The sequence below is a fragment of the Homo sapiens genome, chromosome 2 (genome assembly GCF_000001405.40).
Source record: "Homo sapiens chromosome 2, GRCh38.p14 Primary Assembly".
Lineage (NCBI taxonomy): Eukaryota > Metazoa > Chordata > Mammalia > Primates > Hominidae > Homo > Homo sapiens.
Genome location: NC_000002.12, coordinates 31,143,387 through 31,163,124, shown reverse-complemented (window position 1 = coordinate 31,163,124; position 19,738 = coordinate 31,143,387). Strand labels below are relative to the sequence as shown.

Genomic DNA, 19,738 nt, shown 5'->3' with positions numbered 1-19,738 from the left:
ATCCCTATCAGGAGTGTGGATTCCCATTAGGCCTGATCAAAGCGCTTCCAGAAGACTGCCCTGCCCTTAAAGCACCACATGTGTTGGTTTATTTAACTAATAGCTGCTGCCCTTAATGTTGCCAGGAGCCCATGGGGGCTTACATTAAATATTCTTTAAGCCAGAAACAATAGAAAGTGTATATGGGGCTTAAGCAGAGCCATCCTTTGAGTTTAAGAGTTTGGGATTTTGAAACTGAAACCTTTCCCTCCATCTCCTTACAAAGACTTTTTTTTTAAAGTAAGCAAACAATTAAATGTTGTTAATAGGCATTTAAGAGCTAATCTTTAGAAGAAACAAAGCCTTAAAGATAACCCTAGGTCTTTCCATTCAAGTGTGAACTCCCCCTTAAAACCCTATATTTAAGAAGTTTCATTTGGAGATTATCTATTTGTTCACTGTAGCTTGGTCTCTTAATTGTTTATAAGAGCTCTCACTACTAAAGCCCATTCCTAAGGAAAGTGGTCTATGAAGGAGCCAGTTTGCTTAAAAACCAGGCTCTTAACTTAATTGAGTACTTGGTTTAAAAGAGTTGACTCCATGCATTTGGGTAAATTTACATGTTGTAAGATGCCTGGACACCTTTTTGTGTCCAATCAGCTTCCAGGATCCATAGATCACTGTTTTCATTTGAACACATTGCACTTTTGCGTCATGTCATATTTCTCAGGTTTACAGATAACTTTGTGTTGGTTGCATTTTAGAACAGCTTGTCCCCTGGGAATGGAGGGAAGCACCTTAATTCAGCACTGAATCTGAAATTCTGGGGCCAAGATATGAACATCCATGTTTTCACCGAAAGCTTTTTCAGTGATTCTGATGTATGTGAAAACTAGTGTTTCAGAACTTACCAGACAACTTCTGTCACTTCTGGTTTGTTCCATCCTGCTCTAAGATGTGTCTTAGGTTTGCAGGACTCACCAGACTCTTAAAAGATTTCCATCAGAAAGGCAGTGGCAACCTTGAGCTTCCAGCACAATGGAAAATGCCTAGCAGTTTGTACAAGTCTGCGTGCTTCCTCCTGCCCTGCTCCCTGGAACTTGGGCTTTCTTCAGGGGTTCCCCCAACCCTGAAAGTGGATCTGAAGGTGCTGAATTCAACCTGAGGGCAATGTGTGTATGTTGTAGAGAAGAGGATAAAGAAGCGAGTGTTTGGTTTACTGGCGCTGGCATACACACATTAATTTAGGGTCTTCATCTGCTTTGGTAGACAAATCACAAACATTTCCATGAATAACAGCGTCTGTTATGCAAATTGGTTTCCGTCTGCTGGTCTGTTGAGAATAATCTTCCATAATTACAACAGCTATTTACTTACGGGCAAATCAGCTTTCTCACCACCTTCTCCATTCGAGAGAGGCCTCCAACTGCTGCTGGAGCCCATGTGATTGAGGGCTGATGGACTCTGATGTTGTGAGCCTGTTGTTTGAGTTTGTGGGTCCCAGGACAGAAGGATCCACAGTACCGCCAGTCAACGAGTGGGGATTAGGCTCCCTCAGGCTTCTCTGCACTAAGATGTCCAGGACATAGTCGTCACAAGTTTTATAGCGAGTTGAGGAAACAAGGCATGTGGAACTAATGGAAGAGAATTAAGCCCTGAAATGTGTGGTTCTGCTTAGAATGGATGCAGTAAGCATTTAGCAAAGAAGATATTAGTGTGAGCTGAAGAATTAATACTGACACGGCTTATGGAGAGAAACTTGCCCTGGGCTTATGAAGAGGGGAAGGATTCCTGGAGAAGTCTCAGATGGCAAGGACTTCCAGGCCCAGAGCAGAGGCTGGAGGAAGGAATTCATGGAACATGACCTGAGTGCAGAGGAGGTAGGCTTCCCAACCTGGAAGTAACTGACGTGCATTGAACAACTACCCTCTGACCTGTGCCATGGCAGGTTCACTTAGTTATCTGCTAACAATAGTGACATAGGTAGGGGAGCTGAGGCAGGGAAAATTAAAGTATATTGCTTAAGGTAGCAAAATTGGGAAGATTGAGAGTCAGTGTTGGAGATGGAGGCACTATCAGAAGACATGAAAGTTCTAGAAATCTGGGGGGAATCATTGGGATATGACTCTGATGGATCTTGATCTATAGTAAAATGACAATGTTGGGAGGATAAATCATATTGGGGTGCAGTGGGGTAGGGGGCTGGGTTGTTGTGCTTACTTTTCTGTATTTTTAAATCTTCCCTCCCCAACATGTTTTTTTTCCACAGTGATTTTGTAAACTGAACCCAGTAAGAATATTTCCCAGTAGGACAGGGCAGCATTTACTCTCCTGTTTTACAGGTAAGGGGAACGACATTAAGAAAAATTGTTTCGCCAGCCATTTTTATCTTTTTTACTAGTTAGTCCCAGGGTGCTGACTCTCTTGGGATGTGGTCTGTTACTCATAATTAATAATAATGTTGATAACATAGGAAACATGGGAGATTCATTCCATACTTTCTCTACTATCCATAGTACCTGATAGGACACAGTTCTTGTCTCCAAACAGCTTTCATTCAAAGATGGAAGAATTCAAAGTTTTTATTGGGCAGGGGCTTTGGGGGATGCTGCATCACAAGCTGAAAAGCCCCCTTCATTTTCCTGGCTTCCACCTGGGTGAGAAAGGGTCAGAAATCTAAAAGACTGAGTAAACCAAAGAGTGTGAAGTTATGTAAAGAGGCTGCTAATAGATAAACTAAAATTTGAATTGGATTCACTAAATACTGTCTTTTCCCCCACACTATCTAACAGATGGAGGGCAGGATTGAGAAGAGGAGGGGAGGCTTGGAGGGAGATCAGACCAGTTGTTGAGAAAAATAAGGAGTAATGCTTTTTCTGCACAGCAGAATTGTAAGTGTCAGTCACGTTGTGGCCTGATCTCACTTGAGCACAGGGAGTTTTATGGAAGGAGGGATCTGCATATTGTTCATTCACACATTTAGTCAATGAGTATTTATTGAGCACCTACTCTATGCCAGGAACTGTGCAAGACTGGCATTCAGGGATGAATAGACCCCGTCCTGGCTCTCTGTGGTTCACAGTGTAGTCAAGGAGTCCCACATAGCCAGGGAGTTAGAATTAGTGCAGTGATCTGATAAGGAGTGAGTGTCATGCAAACCCAAGGAAAGCTCACAACCCCAGGCCAGGAAGGCTTCCAGGAAGAGATGACATTTACTCACCATACTCCAGCCATGCTGCTCTTCTTGAAGTTGCACATTCCTCCCCACTTAGGGGTATCTGCACTTGCTGTTCCCTCAGAACCAAATGCTGTTCCATTTCCTTTTGACAGTCTACTCCTATGCTTCTGCAGGTCTTGGCATAAACACCACTTTTTTAAAGAGGCTTTCCCTAACCTCCCTACCCTTAAATTTACACAATGACCGCTCTTTTATTTTTCTTTCCTAATACCTCATTCCTTTCCTTTACAACACAAGTATGTGTATATCTAAGTGAATTTTTAAATAACGGTTTACTTTTTTCACTAGTATAGAAGTTTCTCAAGGTAGACTTTCCTCTACACTGTGTAGTGCATTGTCTGCCACAGAGAGAGCACTCAGTAAATATTAAAGGGGCACACGCATAAAATTACCCCAACACAGGCCACAAGGGTTCTTGACACAAGTCAAGAAGCCCGCTGAATCTTAGTTTCTTCATCTGAAAAACTGGATTTAGGCATCTACTTCATAGGATTTCTGTAGTGTTGTAGACTGAACAATGGACCCCAATGATGTTCATGTTCTAATCCCTGGAACTTGTGGCTATGTCTTTGCAGATGTGATTAAGTTAAGAATGTTGAGATGGGAGGATTCTCCTGGATTGCTCAGGTGGGTCTGGGGTCATCACAGGAGTCCTTATAAGAGGGAGGCAGATTAGAGGGGCATAAGGTGAGGTGACGACAGAAACAGAGAGACTTGAAGATGTTATATTGTTGACCTTGAAGATGGAGGAATGGGCCAAAAGTAAAGGACTGCAAGTTGGATGAGGCAAAAATAGGTTCTTCCTTGGAGCTTTCAGAAGGAACCACTCTTGCTGACTTTTTGATTTTGCCCTGTAAGACTCATTTGGGACTTCCGACCTCTAGAACTGTAAGAGAAAAATATTATATTATTTTAAGCCTCTAAATATGTGGTAATTTGTTGTAGCAGCAATAGGAATCTGATACATATAGAGATCAAATAAGATAATGTGTGAGAAGAGTCTTAGAAAAGCACAAAGCCAGGAATCATTATTAGTTTATGACAGCTCTCTGTTTGTTTATTCCATTTCTACACAGTACTATGTAAGTTCCAGCTATCATAATGAGAGGAGATGCTTGAATAATAGCCCTAAACCCCAAGGAAGGGTATTTTTTCATGGTTTATAATTGCCATAGAGCTTGAAAATCTTCCAGGTCTTATAGTTCTTAATTATGCTCTCATGCATATGCATCAATTACCCACATGCTCCTACCTAGTTTGTTAATGCAAAGATTTTTTTAAAAAAAAATTTGGAATGGTTTCCCCTGCATGCACTTCCCTCTGAAAATATCCTATGAAATATTTTACCTCCACTGCAATGATCTACTTCAGTTGGGACTTGCTTGCCAATCTTCCCCGGCACAACGGAATTAAACCTCCGCTCTCATCTGTTCCAGTCCTGGGGCCTGTTTATTCTACCTGGCAATCCTCTCCACATAACTCCCAATGGCTTAATTGCGGATTTGGTTCTCTGGGTTTGTGCCTGCTTTGCTGGGTATGGTCTGCAATCCAGGAAAAACCAGGGAGCGCCTGACCTAGAAGTTTATATTTAAATGGCAGTGGAGGAGGAAGAAAGGGTGTTGATGGTTTTGCTTGCTGTATCTCCCTGTTAGAAGTGGCTTTGTTGGGTCTGTGATTCAAGCCCACTAAATTCCAGGTGAGTCTCTGTGCTAGAGGGGCGGTTCCCCTTGCAAATCAATGACTTTGCCATGTGATCCCATGTAAATTTCCTGTGTGACTCTTCTGGTGACTTTCAGTTCCACCTGGCTCAGTTGCCCAATCTGAAAGTCAGTTCCTCCTCTTCTTTCTGCTCCATCTCTCCTTTCCTTTTCCCTTGTTCTAGAGACAATCATAGAAACCATACCTAATTATTTGTGTTGGGGAAATCCAAATAGATCTCCCTGGGGACATTTTCATCATGTGGACCAATGTTGTTCTCTCGGTGAACTAAAGGATAGTGGTCTGCTCTCAGTTGTTTTTGTGAGAGAGGAGATCTTACCTTCAAAATCTCTAAAATATTTGAGCTATATCATTAGGTAAATCCCTTAACTTCTCTGTATCAAGGTTTTCTGATCTGTCAAATAAAAATAATAACATAATCATGAGGCAGGGTATGGTGCTTCACACCTGTAATCCCAGCACTTTGGGAGACTGAAGTGGGAGAATCATCTGAGTTCAGGAGTTTGAGACCATCCTGGGCAACATAGCAATACCTTGTCTCTACTAAAAATAAAAAAATCTTAGCCAGGCATGGTGGCATGTGGCTGTAGTCTCAGCTACTTGAGTGGCTGAGGCAGTAGGATGGCTCAAGTCCAGAAGATAGAGGCTGCAGTGACCCATGATTGTATTATTGAGCTTCAGCCTGGGCAACAGATTGACACCCTGTCTCAAAATAATAATAATAATAATAATAATAATAATAATGATAATAATACTATAAATATGGTATATCATTGGGAGAATTAAAATAATATGTAAATGTCACATATTGAACATGGTTGTTCTTAAAATACTTGTTTCTTTCTCTGTCACTCTCGTTTTCAAGCTTGAGGAGGCATGTGCACCCCCTATGAGTTTTCTTTAAAGGAAGACTCTGGGCCTTTGGTCTACAGAGCCACATTCAGTTGGTCTTGGGAGAAGTCGGGGAATCTGTACTTTGAACAAGCTTCCTAGGTGTCATTGATGCTAGTGGTTTTCAAATTCTGCTTTTAGAGACTGTTTCATGGGCTGCGAAAGCAATGAGCTTGGACCATAAGCATTTTTAGGGCATGGCCTGTGTGGTGTCAACTTGTGTGTACTCACAATGCCTGTGGCAAAAGAGGTAACCAACACACATTGGCAGATACCAAATGAGTACCTCTGTACACTTTCAGTATTACCTGATGTATTTTTTCAAGTTTTACCCCTCATGGCAATTAGAGGGCTATGTATAAAGTACACTACTGCAACAGCCTATCATCTGAACCTTCACACATATTCCCAAGGGAAGTTCAAAACTCCCATTCCCTCCCTGCATTCCAGCATGTCCAAGTCTATCTTTCAGCAAGTCTCAGTTCAAATGCCATGTTCTCTATGAAGCCTTCCCCAGTTAAAGCTAACACTGCCCTCTGCTTCAACCAGTTTCTCTATGTCATTTAAAGTGGGTTAATTCTATCATTTCTTACCTATGTGCCTTTGCTCTCTCAGCAGCTTAGAAGTTTTGATGGTTTTACCTGTAATATCTCACAAATCCATGCCCTTCTCCCATCTCAGCCACAATTGTTCCAGTCCCGGCTCCATTATCTTGCTTTTATTAACCAAAAAGCTAGTCTCTTCTTGGCCTGTCTACACCAATCTAGACCCTTCTAGAAAACTGCTCTCTTTTGGCTGGGCGCGGTGGCTCATGCCTGTAATCCTAGCACTCTGGGAGGCCGAGGCAGGCGGATCACAAGGTCAGGAGATCGAGACCATCCTGGCTAACACGATGAAACCCCGTCTCTACTAAAAACACAAAAATTAGCTGGGCGTGGTGGCGGGCACCTGTGGTCCCAGCTACTTGGGAGGCTGAGGCAGGAGAATGGCGCGAACCTGGGAGGCGGAGTTTGCAGTGAGCCAAGATCGTGCCTCTGCACTCCAGCCTGGGCGACAGAGCAAGACTCCGTCTCAAAAAAAAAGAAAATTGCTCTCTTTTTTGTGGCCAAAGGGGGCTTTTGAACACAGGAGTGTGATAACATCTTGCTTCTGTACTCCTTACTCGCCTGCACTCCCACTTAAAACCCTTCAACAGCACTGCATCTCTGTGCTATTAGGGTAAAGCCTAGAGCTCCTAACATGACCTTGAGAGCTCTGTTGGGTCTGGCTGCCTCCCCTGCTTCTCCAGTCTCATCTTGTGTTATGGCCTGTCACTCAGGTCTCCTTGCAATTTCTTGAATGCAACATGCCTCCTCTGGCCACTGGGCCTTTGCATATGCCTGGATTTCTCTTCCCATCCCAGCTGCTAGACTAGCTACCTTTGTTTTCAGCACTGAGTACAAATCTCACTTGCTCAGGAAAGTCTCCTCTTGAGCTCAGTAGACAGATGGGTATAAAGTACTATGTCACTGTGAGGTTGGGAGACAAATATTTTCCAGTGAGCAAGAGGGTGAGTGCTGTGACTAGGTAAGTGGAGTATGAAGGGGTGGGTGGGGTGAGAGGTGTAGGGTCTCTGGATTGAGATCAGTAATACAGATACTTCATTAATGTTTATCTCCATAAGAGCAAGCCTTTTTCTGTTTTGTTCACTCTGTCTTCTTCACCTTAGCTGGTAAGACTTAACACATACCAGTTGCTGAGTAAACATTTGGTGAATGAATAAATAAACATTTGGTGAATGATGGATAAAGAATGCGCAGTTTTTACTTTGAGTTGGGGCTCTCATTTTGGACCCACTCAGAAAGCATCTGGTTTCATTATGTCCTGGGAATCAGAATTAGGCAACTGGTCTCTAGTTAATAAGTCAGAATTGAAAATTTTGTGAACACTAGTTCATGGCTTAACTTGGACTCAGGAACTATACTGATCAATTGCAATACAACTATCTTCCTTAAATTTAGGTCCTAAAATATTCTAAGAAAGTAAATTTTGCTGAAAAATGACTTCTGGAACAGACTTCAGGAAACAGATGGCTCTAGAGTACTATGTCGATGAGAATTTTGAAGACACAGTGTTTCAGAGAGCGAGATGGTGACTGCTGTGATTAGGTAAGTGGAATGTGGAGGAAAGGATGGGGTGAGAGATGTAGAGTTTCTCAATTGAGATCACATACCCTCCATTCAACACTGAAATCTAACAGTAGAACGTAAGTAGATCTGGATTGGAGGGGGGAGGTGATGGGAAAATAAAGAACACATTCTGGAAAAGGATGTTCAAAAGGTGAAAAGAAAACACGGAACAAGAAGGATTGAATGAAGGGCAGCAGTACCCAGAGACTACAGGAAATAAAAAGGGTCAAGAGAATGGCTGGGCGTGGTGGCTCACACCTGTAATCCTAGCACTTTGGGAGGCTGAGGTGGGCTGATCACCTGAGGTCGGGAGTTCGAGACCAGCCTGACCAACATGGAGAAACCCTGTCTGTACTAATAATACAAAAATTAGCCAAGCGTGGTGGTGCATGCCTGTAATCCCAGCTACTCAGGAGGCTGAGGCATGAGATTAGCTTGAACCTGGGAGGCGGAGGTTGCAGTGAGCCCAGATCGCACCATTGCACTCTAGCCTGGGCAACAGGAGTGAAACTCCATCTCAAAAAAAAAAAAAAAAAAAAAAAAAATCAAGAGATTCTAATCCCAGAAGCTGCCATTGACATAGGTAGGGGTTCTTGAGCCTACAACCAAGCTTCCTTCTCAGGCAATTGCCGGCAGCCCCAATTAAGGAGATTGTCCAAGGCAGTCATAACGGCAATGTGCTCTTGTCCCTTATTTCTCATGCGATTGCCTGGTCTAGAGCAGTTTCCTGAGCAGAAGTGAGCCACCCAGATTCTTCTCTTAAAATCTGAAATCGGAATAGCGAGGAACTAGGAGAGTTATTTATCAGAACCTGAGCCTAAGGTGTATATAGAAATGGGGCCAGAATTGGCTCTAAGGCAAGCCCAAGCTGAAGTTATGGGAGCAGAAACGAGGGGTGAGGAAGCAGATCTGCAGAGAGAAGATAGCCCAGGTCAGAGAGAGGCAGAGATGCAGGACTGTTTGCATCAGGCAGAACAGCAGCTTGGGCCCTGTGCCTGCCAGTTTCTTGGATTCTGTTTCCAAGAGGCCTGCCTGGCTGGGTCAAGTAACTGAGTTCTGTATCTGTTCAATAAACTCTCCTTTAAGTGGGCTAGCTTAGCTTAAGTGTATCTCTCTCTGTTCTCTACATGCAAAAGAAATTTGAGAAGCAATTGGTGGTTGAACATGCAATGGGGCAAACCATTTTAACATGAATTGGGGATGTGCCTGAGAAGACCCAACTTTCCCAAAGGAACCAAGAACACAGCCTTGGAAGAAATGAGCTGGAAATATCGCGCTCATCTGTAAGTAAGCTGAAAGTTAGTTCTTGTGTGTATGTATACAGTGGCATTCTCTATTTCTCACACTTGACTCAGGGAGATTCTCCTGATTGGACATCTGACCTAGTGTGAGTCAGGCTAATGCCCTGCAACAGAGGAACAATGCTATGGTGGAGCCCCCAACACCAAGGTCCCAAGTGGAGACTCTTCTTTGTGACCTTGGGAAGTGGTAGTGGAAATGACCAGGAAATGAATTGGTTTGGTTTTCCTCCCCATGGCAGCCTGGCCTTACCTAAGGGCTTGTAGGCCCTCTTTCCGTGCTTTTCTAGATGATTTGTAAGGGATTGGTACCACACTGAGGCTCTTGTAAAATCACACTGGCTCCTATTCCCCTTGGACAGTGTCAGCCACCAGCTCTAAACGCCTTCCGATGTTCAAGGCTGCAGACTCAGCACCCACATCACTGGCCTACATGTTGCTCAGCAAGTGTTTCCTGAGCATCCCCTGGGAGCCCATTTCTGTAGCAGGTGCTCTGTGCGCTTGGCTTCTACATGTGAAGAAAACAGTTCATTGACTGCTTGATGTGCTCTCCTGTTGGAAAGGTTCTGCTGCTTTGGTGGGCATTGCCAGGGCAACCAGACCAAGAGTCTGTTAATTAATTAATGCAACAGTGATTGCACCCAACCTTAGCTTAACGGAAGAGAAAACTGATTAGAATAATTTGCTTCTTGGTGAGGAATGGGTCAAAGAGAAACGCAGAGTTTTACAGCCAAGTAGAAGCTTTGTCTCAGTTTAAAGCTCACTGGAAAAAAACACAGATAATGGGTGTGGGGGCAGTGATGGATGAAAATAGTTCATCTCATAATCAACCAGAAGACCAACAGCTAAATATTGGAATGCTGCCTTTGGAGAAAAGGAAACCACAGTATCAAGAGTCAATCACAGGTGAGGTTCAATTGCAGAGTCAGGGTTCAGACCCCATGTAGAGGCTAGTCTTCTAATCAGGGATCCTGAAAAGATCCACTTAGAAGGGCTTTGATGAAAACAGTTGGGAATTCAGGAAGAAAGACACAGACATGTATGTTTTGTGTAATTTTTTTGGTTTAATTGTGTGTATATGTGTGTTATAACAAAAATAATTTGTGATTGTCCAAGTTCTACAAAGATTATTGATGGTTTCTTAAGTTTATTTTATACAAAAAAGTACATAATGGTTTTTTACTTAAGGATGCAAATTATTTTTTCCCACAGTCCTGGCTGTCAAAGCACAAAAAAGTGCTTTGAGCCCTATTCCTGAAACATAAGCTTTCTGGTGCACTCCAAAGGAACTCTTTTGTAGGCTGCACTAAGCTAATCAGATACTTTCTGTCTTCAAGATTTTACTCTAAGAAAGTAAATTAGTTAGTATTGAAAGCTTGGATAAGATGAGAAAGGAAGTCACAGTGACTTGGTGTTATGCGCTGTTTTGTTGTTTTTGTTTTTTTTTTTTTTTTTCATGAGAACCCAGAAACAGAGAACAGGACTAGAGAGAAGGAGAATTCATTCGTTCATTCATTCATTCATTCATTATTCCTTATTCAAAAGTTTTACTGAGTCCCTTCTGTAAGCTATACCCTCTTCTGGGCGCAGATGATACAACAGTGAATAGAACAAAGTTCCTTTCCTCATGGAATTTACATGCCAGTGAGGCAAAGGAGAGACAAGAAATAAATAAACATATTATATGTCAGGCAGTAATAAGTGCTATGAAGGAAAATAAAGCTGCTAAGGCAATAGAGATTGAGGAGATTGAGAAGCTGCTATTTCAGATACAGAGGGCAGGAAGGTGAAAGAGGAGAGTAATCCATGTGGACATCCAGGGGAAAGAGCGAAGTGGGTGGCTGAGAGGATCAGGGACAAGCTTCACGTAGTCCTAGAGAAATGGAGACGGGAATCTCAAGATCTGGCCATCCTACCACCCTTGGGTACTATAAGATACTCTGTCATACATCTAATGAATTGTCTCTTTTAGCATAAATTTGAGGGTTTTTCCTTTTTTGCAGCTAACAGATTCCATTTCTAAACCCAGAAGGTGAGTCTACAGCAGTTAGCTATGAGCTACCTAGAATTCCGGCCCGGGCTCCCTAGTCAGAGAGTGTGGCTCTTCACCACCACCTGATGGCAATGTCCTTGAAGCACAGGGGCCTTCACAAGGGCAAAACCCAGTCTGGGAGCTAAAGAGATGCCAAGAGATAATAACTCTGCAGCTGTTTCTTATGCCAGTGTTAGCAAATCTCGAAACTGTAAAGAATTATATTCTTGAAAGCATTAAAAGAGCGTTTATTTGTGCCAGGGTCATTCCGTTTTGGCTGGAGGGTTCAGGGAAACGTGGAGATGTGAGCTGTGATTTTTTGAATTGAGGGCCAGAGCTGGTCCCCCTCTTGGATTCAGTTTATACAGATTACTCCTTGATGTTTCTGAATGATTCTACATGTAAACCTGGGGTCTGATCTCTTTCTGGCCTTCTGATCTCACTATAGCTAAAAAACCAACCAATAAAATGGGAACTCTTTAGAATTACATGGATCCTTGAGGCACACAAGTACTCAAATGTCAGCAAGGAATATATGCAGCAGTGTAGCTGAGGGTTCTGACTGCTGCTGCGCTTGCGTTCAAGGGAAATAATATGTATTGAGTACCCTGGTGCCAGACACTTGACATACGTTATCTCCTATGCCCAAAGAATTTACCCCTTTCTAAAGATGAGGAAACTGAGCTTCAGAGAGATTCGGTACCTTGATGAATAAAAAAAAAAAAATGCTGATTTTGCAGCTGGGCGCGGTGGCTCACGCCTGTAATCCCAGCACTTTGGGAGGCTGAGGTGGGCGGATCATGAGGTCAGGAGTTTGAGACCAGCCTGGTCAACATGATGAAACCCTGTCTCTACTAAAAATACAAAAATTAGCCGGGCGTGGTGGCACGCACCTGTAATCCCAGCTACTCAGGAGGCTGAGGGAGAAGAATTGCTTGAACCTGGGAGGCAGAGGTTGCAGTGAGCTGAGATCACCCCACTGCACCCCAGCCTGGGTGACAGAGCGAGACTCCGTCTTGAAAAAAAAATGCTGATTTGCAAGCAATTGAAGATTTGTCTGGCTGATAAAGCAGGAACAGAATGTTAAAAAGATTTTGGGGTGCTCACAGAGAACCAGGGCTAAGCTTCCAGAGGGGATCCTAACACCGGACTGCAAAACTGGTGTGACGAGGGAACCACAGCTACTCTCACAGAGAACTGCATGCCAGTATCTGCACCACTGCCACTTCTATTCAGGAACTCCACTGGACTGCTTCTGCTCTTGCTGCCAGCACTGTGCTTCTTTTGCACCAGGAATTAGACCTTTACTCTGTCACTAGTCTCACTTCTCTTTTGTCTCACCAGCTCTAAGGTAAAAAGTTTGGTGCGGAGGCTTGATTGGCAGAGTGTAAATCCGGGCTTTAGCTGCAAGGGAGGCTAGGAAACGAAGTAGCTGGTATTTTTCAACTCTGTTGGCAAAGGCTGTTTCAGTCTCTCATCAAAGTGGGGGAATTCCCCCAAGATAGAAAGTGGCTCAGATAGAGGCAGCCAAACAAAAGTCACATGCCCACCAGAGCTGCAGCAGTGACATAGTCAGTGAGGGGTGGGGTTGGTACTCTATTTCCAGAGCCCACTTCATATTTCCTCTTGCAGGGGTGCCAAAGTAGAAGGCGATGCTCACTTTTTAAGACCTTATTGAAAAACCATAGTGTTGAGCATTTTCAATATGCCCAACATTGTCACTAAGATGTGAGGCTATAAAGGTGCAAAAGACATGATGGTTGCCCTGCAAGTGATAGCTTCATCTTCATCACATAGTCCTGAGCAACAGTAATGGATGACTAGTATATTGATTACCTTCGGTACCAGGTGCTTTGTATACATTATCTCTAAAGGCTGACAACAACCCTGCAAAAAGATACTTTTAATACCAGATGATGAAACTGAGACTAGAAAGGTTACATAATATGTTCAAGTCACACAATTAATAAGTAGCAAATCCCAGGGTAGAAAATGAGGTCTCTCTGGCCAACTCCAAACTGGGGAAACTGGGGCCAGAAAGATTCAGTCGTTTGGCAAAAGTCTGCTGTCAGTTGATAGCAGAGTTGGGATCAGAACTCTAGCCTCTGACTCCAGCCCTTATGAGCTGAGCTGACTCCACACTGTGTTCAGCACCGCCTTTTTGTCTGGCGTTGCCTGGCGCCTCTTTACCTTCATCGTTCTGAATGCCTTTTATTCAGTCCTGAGGTTTTTAAACGTGTCCTTTCCAGCTCCATTGTTTTGAGGGACAGTGACCATCTCAGCTGATCCTGCGTGGGAGTGGGGAGATGTCACTGAAGCCAGACCAACCAGAGACCTCCTGAGGGCAGGCTGGAGAATCAGGGCATCAGCCAGGTGATCTGTAAGGTCACAACCTGATCTGCTCTCCATGATGAGGGTTCCTTCCTAGGGAGTGTGACTCCTTTGTGGAGAGAAAGCTCTGGATCTTAACTCCCCTCTGTCACTGCTGGGCTTTGTCTCAGGTGGTCACCTTGACTGCTGGCAAATTCTATCCCTAAAGGACAAAGACAGTCAGCTGGTGATGGTGAACTTCCTAATGAGAAAAGAGGACTTTTGAAGAAAGAACCTGTTCAATGAGCACCATTATTTTTTCAGAGAACCTGTGGCAGGGGCGTGTCATGAGTGAAGTTATGAGGGGGTTCGATGTCTGGTAGGGAGAGACGATATTATAAAAGAGGTCATGGGAGGCCAGGAGAAAGGAGAGATACATAGAGAAAGGAGAGAGAGAGATAATATGAAGTAGGACAGTTGGTTCTTTACATCTTTCTCTCACACCTTCCACTACTGGCCCAGTTTCTACCATGATTTTCTAACCTTAGTTTTCATATTGCCTCTTAGTGTACCCATGATCTAAATCTAAGGGCTTAAACATTATTATTGTTGTTGTATTAGCATCAATGGGCCATTTCCATTCAGTTTCTATAAATGGGATCTCATACCACCTCTCTGCCCCGAATTCTCTCTCTCTGTCTGCGTGTGTGTGTGTGTGTCTCTCTGTCACACACACACACATCCAACACACTAGTGAAAACTGCAGTGTCATTTGCTGCACCCTGGAGATTACTTTGTCTTTGAGAGTCCAAAGAAAAGCCCATCAGCTGTCAAGGGTTTTAATTATTTATTTTTAATCACAAAGGAATGCCTGACTATGTTCTGGTTGTAAAAAAATTCACACAATACATCTGAAATGAAAGTCTCCCCCAGTGAAGAATTTTAAATAGCTCTGGTCCTCACCCACCAGCCCCTGGGTCTGTGGTGGACCAGTGCTGGGAGATGTAAATGGACCTGGTAAAGGTTTGGGGAAACACTGAACTCTTGTAATACAGGGAGGGCTGGGGAAGCAGGGATCACCTGTGAAATGAAATGGGAGTAGTTAATGGAACTTATCCTTTACATTTAGGAGTTGTTGACTTTGCCAGGGATGTGCTCTTCCATTTTTGCAGTTTTCTTTTAAAGGAGTGAGGAAGAGGAGACCTGGGCTCCTGTATCTCTGTAGGGACTCACTCTTTTCTCTAATGAGCTGCCTTAAGACAGCATGCATCACAGGCAGACGCTCAGCATTCTGCTGTACTTGGCCATAGCAAGTGGTAAGACTTTTGTCAAATTCATGTCTTTCTCACCAATATTCTAATGTTGGGTATTTCCTTTATGACTCAATAAGCCCCTGTATAAATTTGCTACGGGGCCAAATTGAGATGAATGCAGAGTTTTAGTAAAGAAGTCAGAAATGTATTGAATGAAAGAAAGATCCAAATAGAAAGTCTCTTGGAGACCATTGATTTAGTTCTTCACTTGTCAGAAGAAGACATGAAAGTCCAGAGAGGTTTGCTCCAATGCCCCAAATCACATAGGCAGAGTTAGGAGCACAGAGAAAACCAGAATTCCGGTTTCAGACTCCCAGCCTAGTGTTGCTTCCATTACGCCAGTGTTGGAATCCAGCCGCCACTGTTAGCTACCTGGAAAACCTGGGCTGGTCTCAATAACCCTGGAGCCCAGTTTTATCATCACTCTATCTCCCTTAGGGTAGCATCGCTAAGAGCATCCAATAAAATTGTGACTGTTAAGTACCACGTAAATAGCCAAGCAATTTTCAAGTACAAAAAAAAATGAACTTCTTTTCAGTTACTGGAAAGACAAGCATTCTTCATTAGTTAGTCATGTACAGTAGCATTTTGTGAAGCATCACCTAACTGCATGTAAGATTTTAGGAATCTGGCCCTGGAAACTTTGCTGTTTTATTTTTTATTTTTTTCTCTTTTTAAGTTTCTTAAAAATTGGTGTTATATGATAATAGGACATTATTTTACATTCATTTAGGTGTGATAATGGTGCTGTGGTTATGTTGGTAGATGTTATTAATTTGGGGAATGCATGCTGAAGTACTTCTGGGTTGTTTAGGGTTATTATTTAAGTGTTATATATTATGACATCTGTAATTTACCTTTCAGTGGTTCAGCAATTATAAACCCATGCATATGTGGGCACGTACATATATATGGCAAAACATTAACTGTTTTTGAATCTAGGTATATTACATGTGTGGGTGTCGAATATACTATTGTTCTATTTTTCCATATGTTTGAAAATTTTTATAATAAAGTGGCCTGTAAAATAAATTCTTCCAGTGATACTGATTCTCTCTGTTTTGAGAACCACTGATGTAGAGCTATAGAACACGTGACCAGTGACAGTCTGTGAGTGGACTCTCCATGTGACTAATTATGACATGGGATTATCTATGCTCCTGGTTCCAGTTTAAGAAGAAAATAAGAGAAAATCTTTTAAATTTCCTCCTTGATGTCTCATCAGAATTGGAGCCGCTTTTCCTCTGCAATACTGGTAAGGTTCTATTTTCCTTTGCTTTGTTTTGACAGTCTGATTTGTCTGTTGCACTGAAATATTGAAACGGTACGCCATCTTTCCCATTTCCAGGGAGGCCTACAGGTGGAACTGATTGGACTTGAAGGTATTGATTAGATCAGTGGTTCCCAAACTTGGGTGCCTAGAGACATCATCCATAAAATTTCAGCAGGCTTAGGGTGAGGCAGTGGCATGTGACTCTTAGCAATAACAAGAGATAATTCTAATGTATATCTAGGTTTGAGACCCAGTGTTTTAAACTATGATGACAACAAAGTCAAGGTCATGGGTTTGGTTCCCAATTTAAGAGATATTTAGCTTTTCATGGAGAAAAGTTCCATTCCATAGTTACATTCTCTACACCATACTCTGTTCTACCATTTTAAAATACGGGTCCTGGTAGAAAAAAAATGAACCAGGAAAAAGAAAAAGGTTTTAGGAAAAAGAAAAGGAATTAGGGCAATTTACAACAATGACAACAACATATATATATATACATATATGCACAAAGTCATATATGTATGCACAAAATCATATATATATAAAAATATGATTTTTCCTTCTTGTTAGAATTTGGTATATTCTGTTACAGAGGTGGCTGCATATTATTGATGGGTGAAAAGAGGTTTTTATTCGTTGTTCTTTCATTACCAAATGTATCAACTACCTCAGGAATTTTGGATGAAAAGGTAAAAATGTTTTGTCAGCATCAGTGAATCGTGATAAAAATGAGTGATGTTTTTAATGAAAAACACTTGATGAACACTTACCAGGCAAGCATGAAAGGAGAAATTGAACCTCAGGAAACAGAAAAATGAACCCCCACTCACCAAACCATTTTTGTTATTAACACTTTCTGGGGCCTCTAAAAGAAAGGAAATGCTGTAAAGGAAAACAAGAGCAGCTCTCTGGCACGGCCTTGGTTTCTGCAGTAGGAATCAGCAGGATCCTTCACCGGCACACCATAAAGCAGCTTCCCTTGTTCTTATGTAATATGTCTTTGCAGCTTAAACCTTTAATTAACCAGAGATGTCATCAAGAAAAGTTTGCTAAGGAAGAGGATGCCTGGTTTAATTAAAAAGATCTTTAATAGTTATTAAGGAAATCAATTTGGAATTCAGGCCTGAGAGCAGTGATGGGGGAAGAAATCACTGAGAGGAACTTCTCCATCTCTCTGGGTAATGGATTTTAACCCTTTGATCTGATCTGCTTTACAATCCCCAGGGCAGTGGTCCAGGGCATGGAGAGGGATGCTTGTCACTCATCATTTTTAAATCTACATCCCAGATGTAAGAGAGCAGTTCTGCCTTACATGGCAGAAGCCCAACCTTTCTGGAATGCAGTTATCCTGGCAATTGAAAGAAATAGGAAACCTTTATAAATTGAAAATCTCCTACCTCATAAGTATAAGCTATTTTTTTCCCCAAAGAGATGCATTATTTCTCCCTGAGGATTTGCACTTGGACTGTACATCAGGCGTTTTCCCATTACTGCTCCAACTGGCCTTCTTCGGATCAAGCTAGAAAAAGGGATTTGGCTCTTTGGAGCATAAGAGAAATATTATTTTCACTTGTCTCATGAAAATGATGACACAAAAGGTGAAATAGCCAGAGGATGGGCAAAATAAATTGTCTGTGTGGCAAAAACTGTAAAAGGAAAAGAGTTTTTCTTTTAAAAAACAGCATTCTGCCAACAGGGGAATGATATTAATATCATCATCTGACGCAGCCCAGTTGAGTTCAAATGCTGAAAGCACTTCTCAAATAATCTATGTTTAATTAACATTTGCACAGCACTTAGAGAGGGAAACTGAAGACAGGTGCAGTGCAGAGCTGCAAAAACGACTTTCCTGTTGCAATGTAGCTATTTCTCAGGTGGACTGAAGCGCCTCTATCTAGGACTCAACATTACTCAACAGAAACCCAAGAGGAAGGACTAGATCTTTTAACACTCAAGGCTTTATTCAAATCACCAGCTTACATTTTCTAGAAGAGCTGGAACAGGCCTTATTTATTTGTATTCCTCACAGCAAATTGCCCAGAGTCTTGGTCACAGTGTCTTTGTTCATTGTTTTGCTCATTACCTAGAAACTTCTGGGCTTAGCAGCCTCCCCATCCCACCGTAGAAATGCCTCAGCTCCCTGATTCACTTGTCCTGTGAAACCTAGTGAGGGATGTCACTTGGGAGCAATGTTGGGTAATGCAGATATGTTATAGCCCACAGTTTACCAATGAACTCATCTTGCTGTAGGCAGTTCGTGCAATTTCTCTGGGCTCCACTTTTCTCAATCACAAAATGAGGAGTATTGAACTACATTAGAGTCTAAGGCCCCTCCTAATATAATCTGGTGTACTCTTTACCCTTTGTCCTAGCTTGGTAGATCTGTTCCCACATTAGAAGATGGAAACCAGGAAAACTTCAGTACTTATGGAAACACTGGTGGCTGGAGTAGAGGTTGCAAGCTGGCAAGCAGCAGGCTGGATTCAGACTGCAGACCTGTTTATTTAGCCCATCCAATGTTTTGGTGGGCTGGTGGTGGGGGTGATTGAATTAATCGATAACAGTTAAAATCCAGGAGGTTTCACATCGTCATCTGGACTTATGCTTTTGTTGAGGCTGGAAAACTCTGGCAACACTTTACTGGCACTGGCAATGATGAGTTGGAGCTGATTCCTTGCTAGTCCAGTGTGGGCCCCGCTACTCCCTACTGTGTCCTCAATATGAAGGTTGAATAGCAGTTTCATTGTTGTCATTGTGTTTATGCTATTTTTCCCCCAACCCTATCTCATTTCACTCATTCATGTTACTTTCATGGCCCATGTAGGTATGTGGGTGAGAGGAGGAGGTTGTTGGAAGAATGATTGGAGTCTGGTGTCAGGAATCCCTTGCCCTTCAAAGAGACAGTGTGCTGCTATCTGGCTGCTTCCATGAGCTGCAAAGTGGGTAAAACATCTTCAGTTGGGTGGATAGGATAAGACTGTCATTGACTGATATGCGCAACCTAATTACTTCCTTAGTTACTTAAAGCTGGCTTCATTTGTCCAAATTGTCTCTTCTTTGGATAAGCATCTTGACTATTGTTTACTTAGAATAATGCCCCACATGAACAGAGTATCCCAAGTTCAGCACACATACAAAACAACTTAAATAGCAAACCCACATTTTTACTCATCTAAGAAAAGCAATCTTCCTTCTAGAACCATCACCAGAAGTCCTCCTGTTGATTAGAGTGGCCTCTAATTTATTGTCTAAAATAGAAATTTCTTGAAAGTAAAATGAGGCAGTATAATAATTATGCCAGAAAAATCAGAATAAACCAGGAATTTCCCAAGCAAACTGGGGCATAAAGCCACCCTGCTCAATGTGCAATATCTGGTAGTGACTTGATGACAAAATCTGCTGTCGGTCACTAGAGATTATACTGGATTGTCCCAGGTCCACTCCTGGGGTATGCTTGGCTCCTCTTGCTGCTGAAGTCCTAGCCAGACTGGAGAGGCCCCATCACAGTTCTATT

General features: G+C 42.5%; 1 long non-coding RNA gene across 2 annotated transcripts; it reads left to right on the top strand.

The window, feature by feature from the left end:
• Positions 1 to 763: 763 nt before the first annotated feature.
• On the top strand, positions 764 to 19,266 carry LOC107985861 (uncharacterized). 2 transcript variants are annotated; one of them, XR_001739383.1, is made up of 6 exons: positions 764 to 1,859; positions 3,793 to 3,844; positions 7,828 to 7,974; positions 9,132 to 9,278; positions 16,015 to 16,203; positions 19,049 to 19,266. It is a non-coding gene; the product is annotated as an uncharacterized LOC107985861 (long non-coding RNA). The 2 variants fall into 2 exon arrangements; XR_001739384.1 differs by lacking the exon at positions 3,793 to 3,844.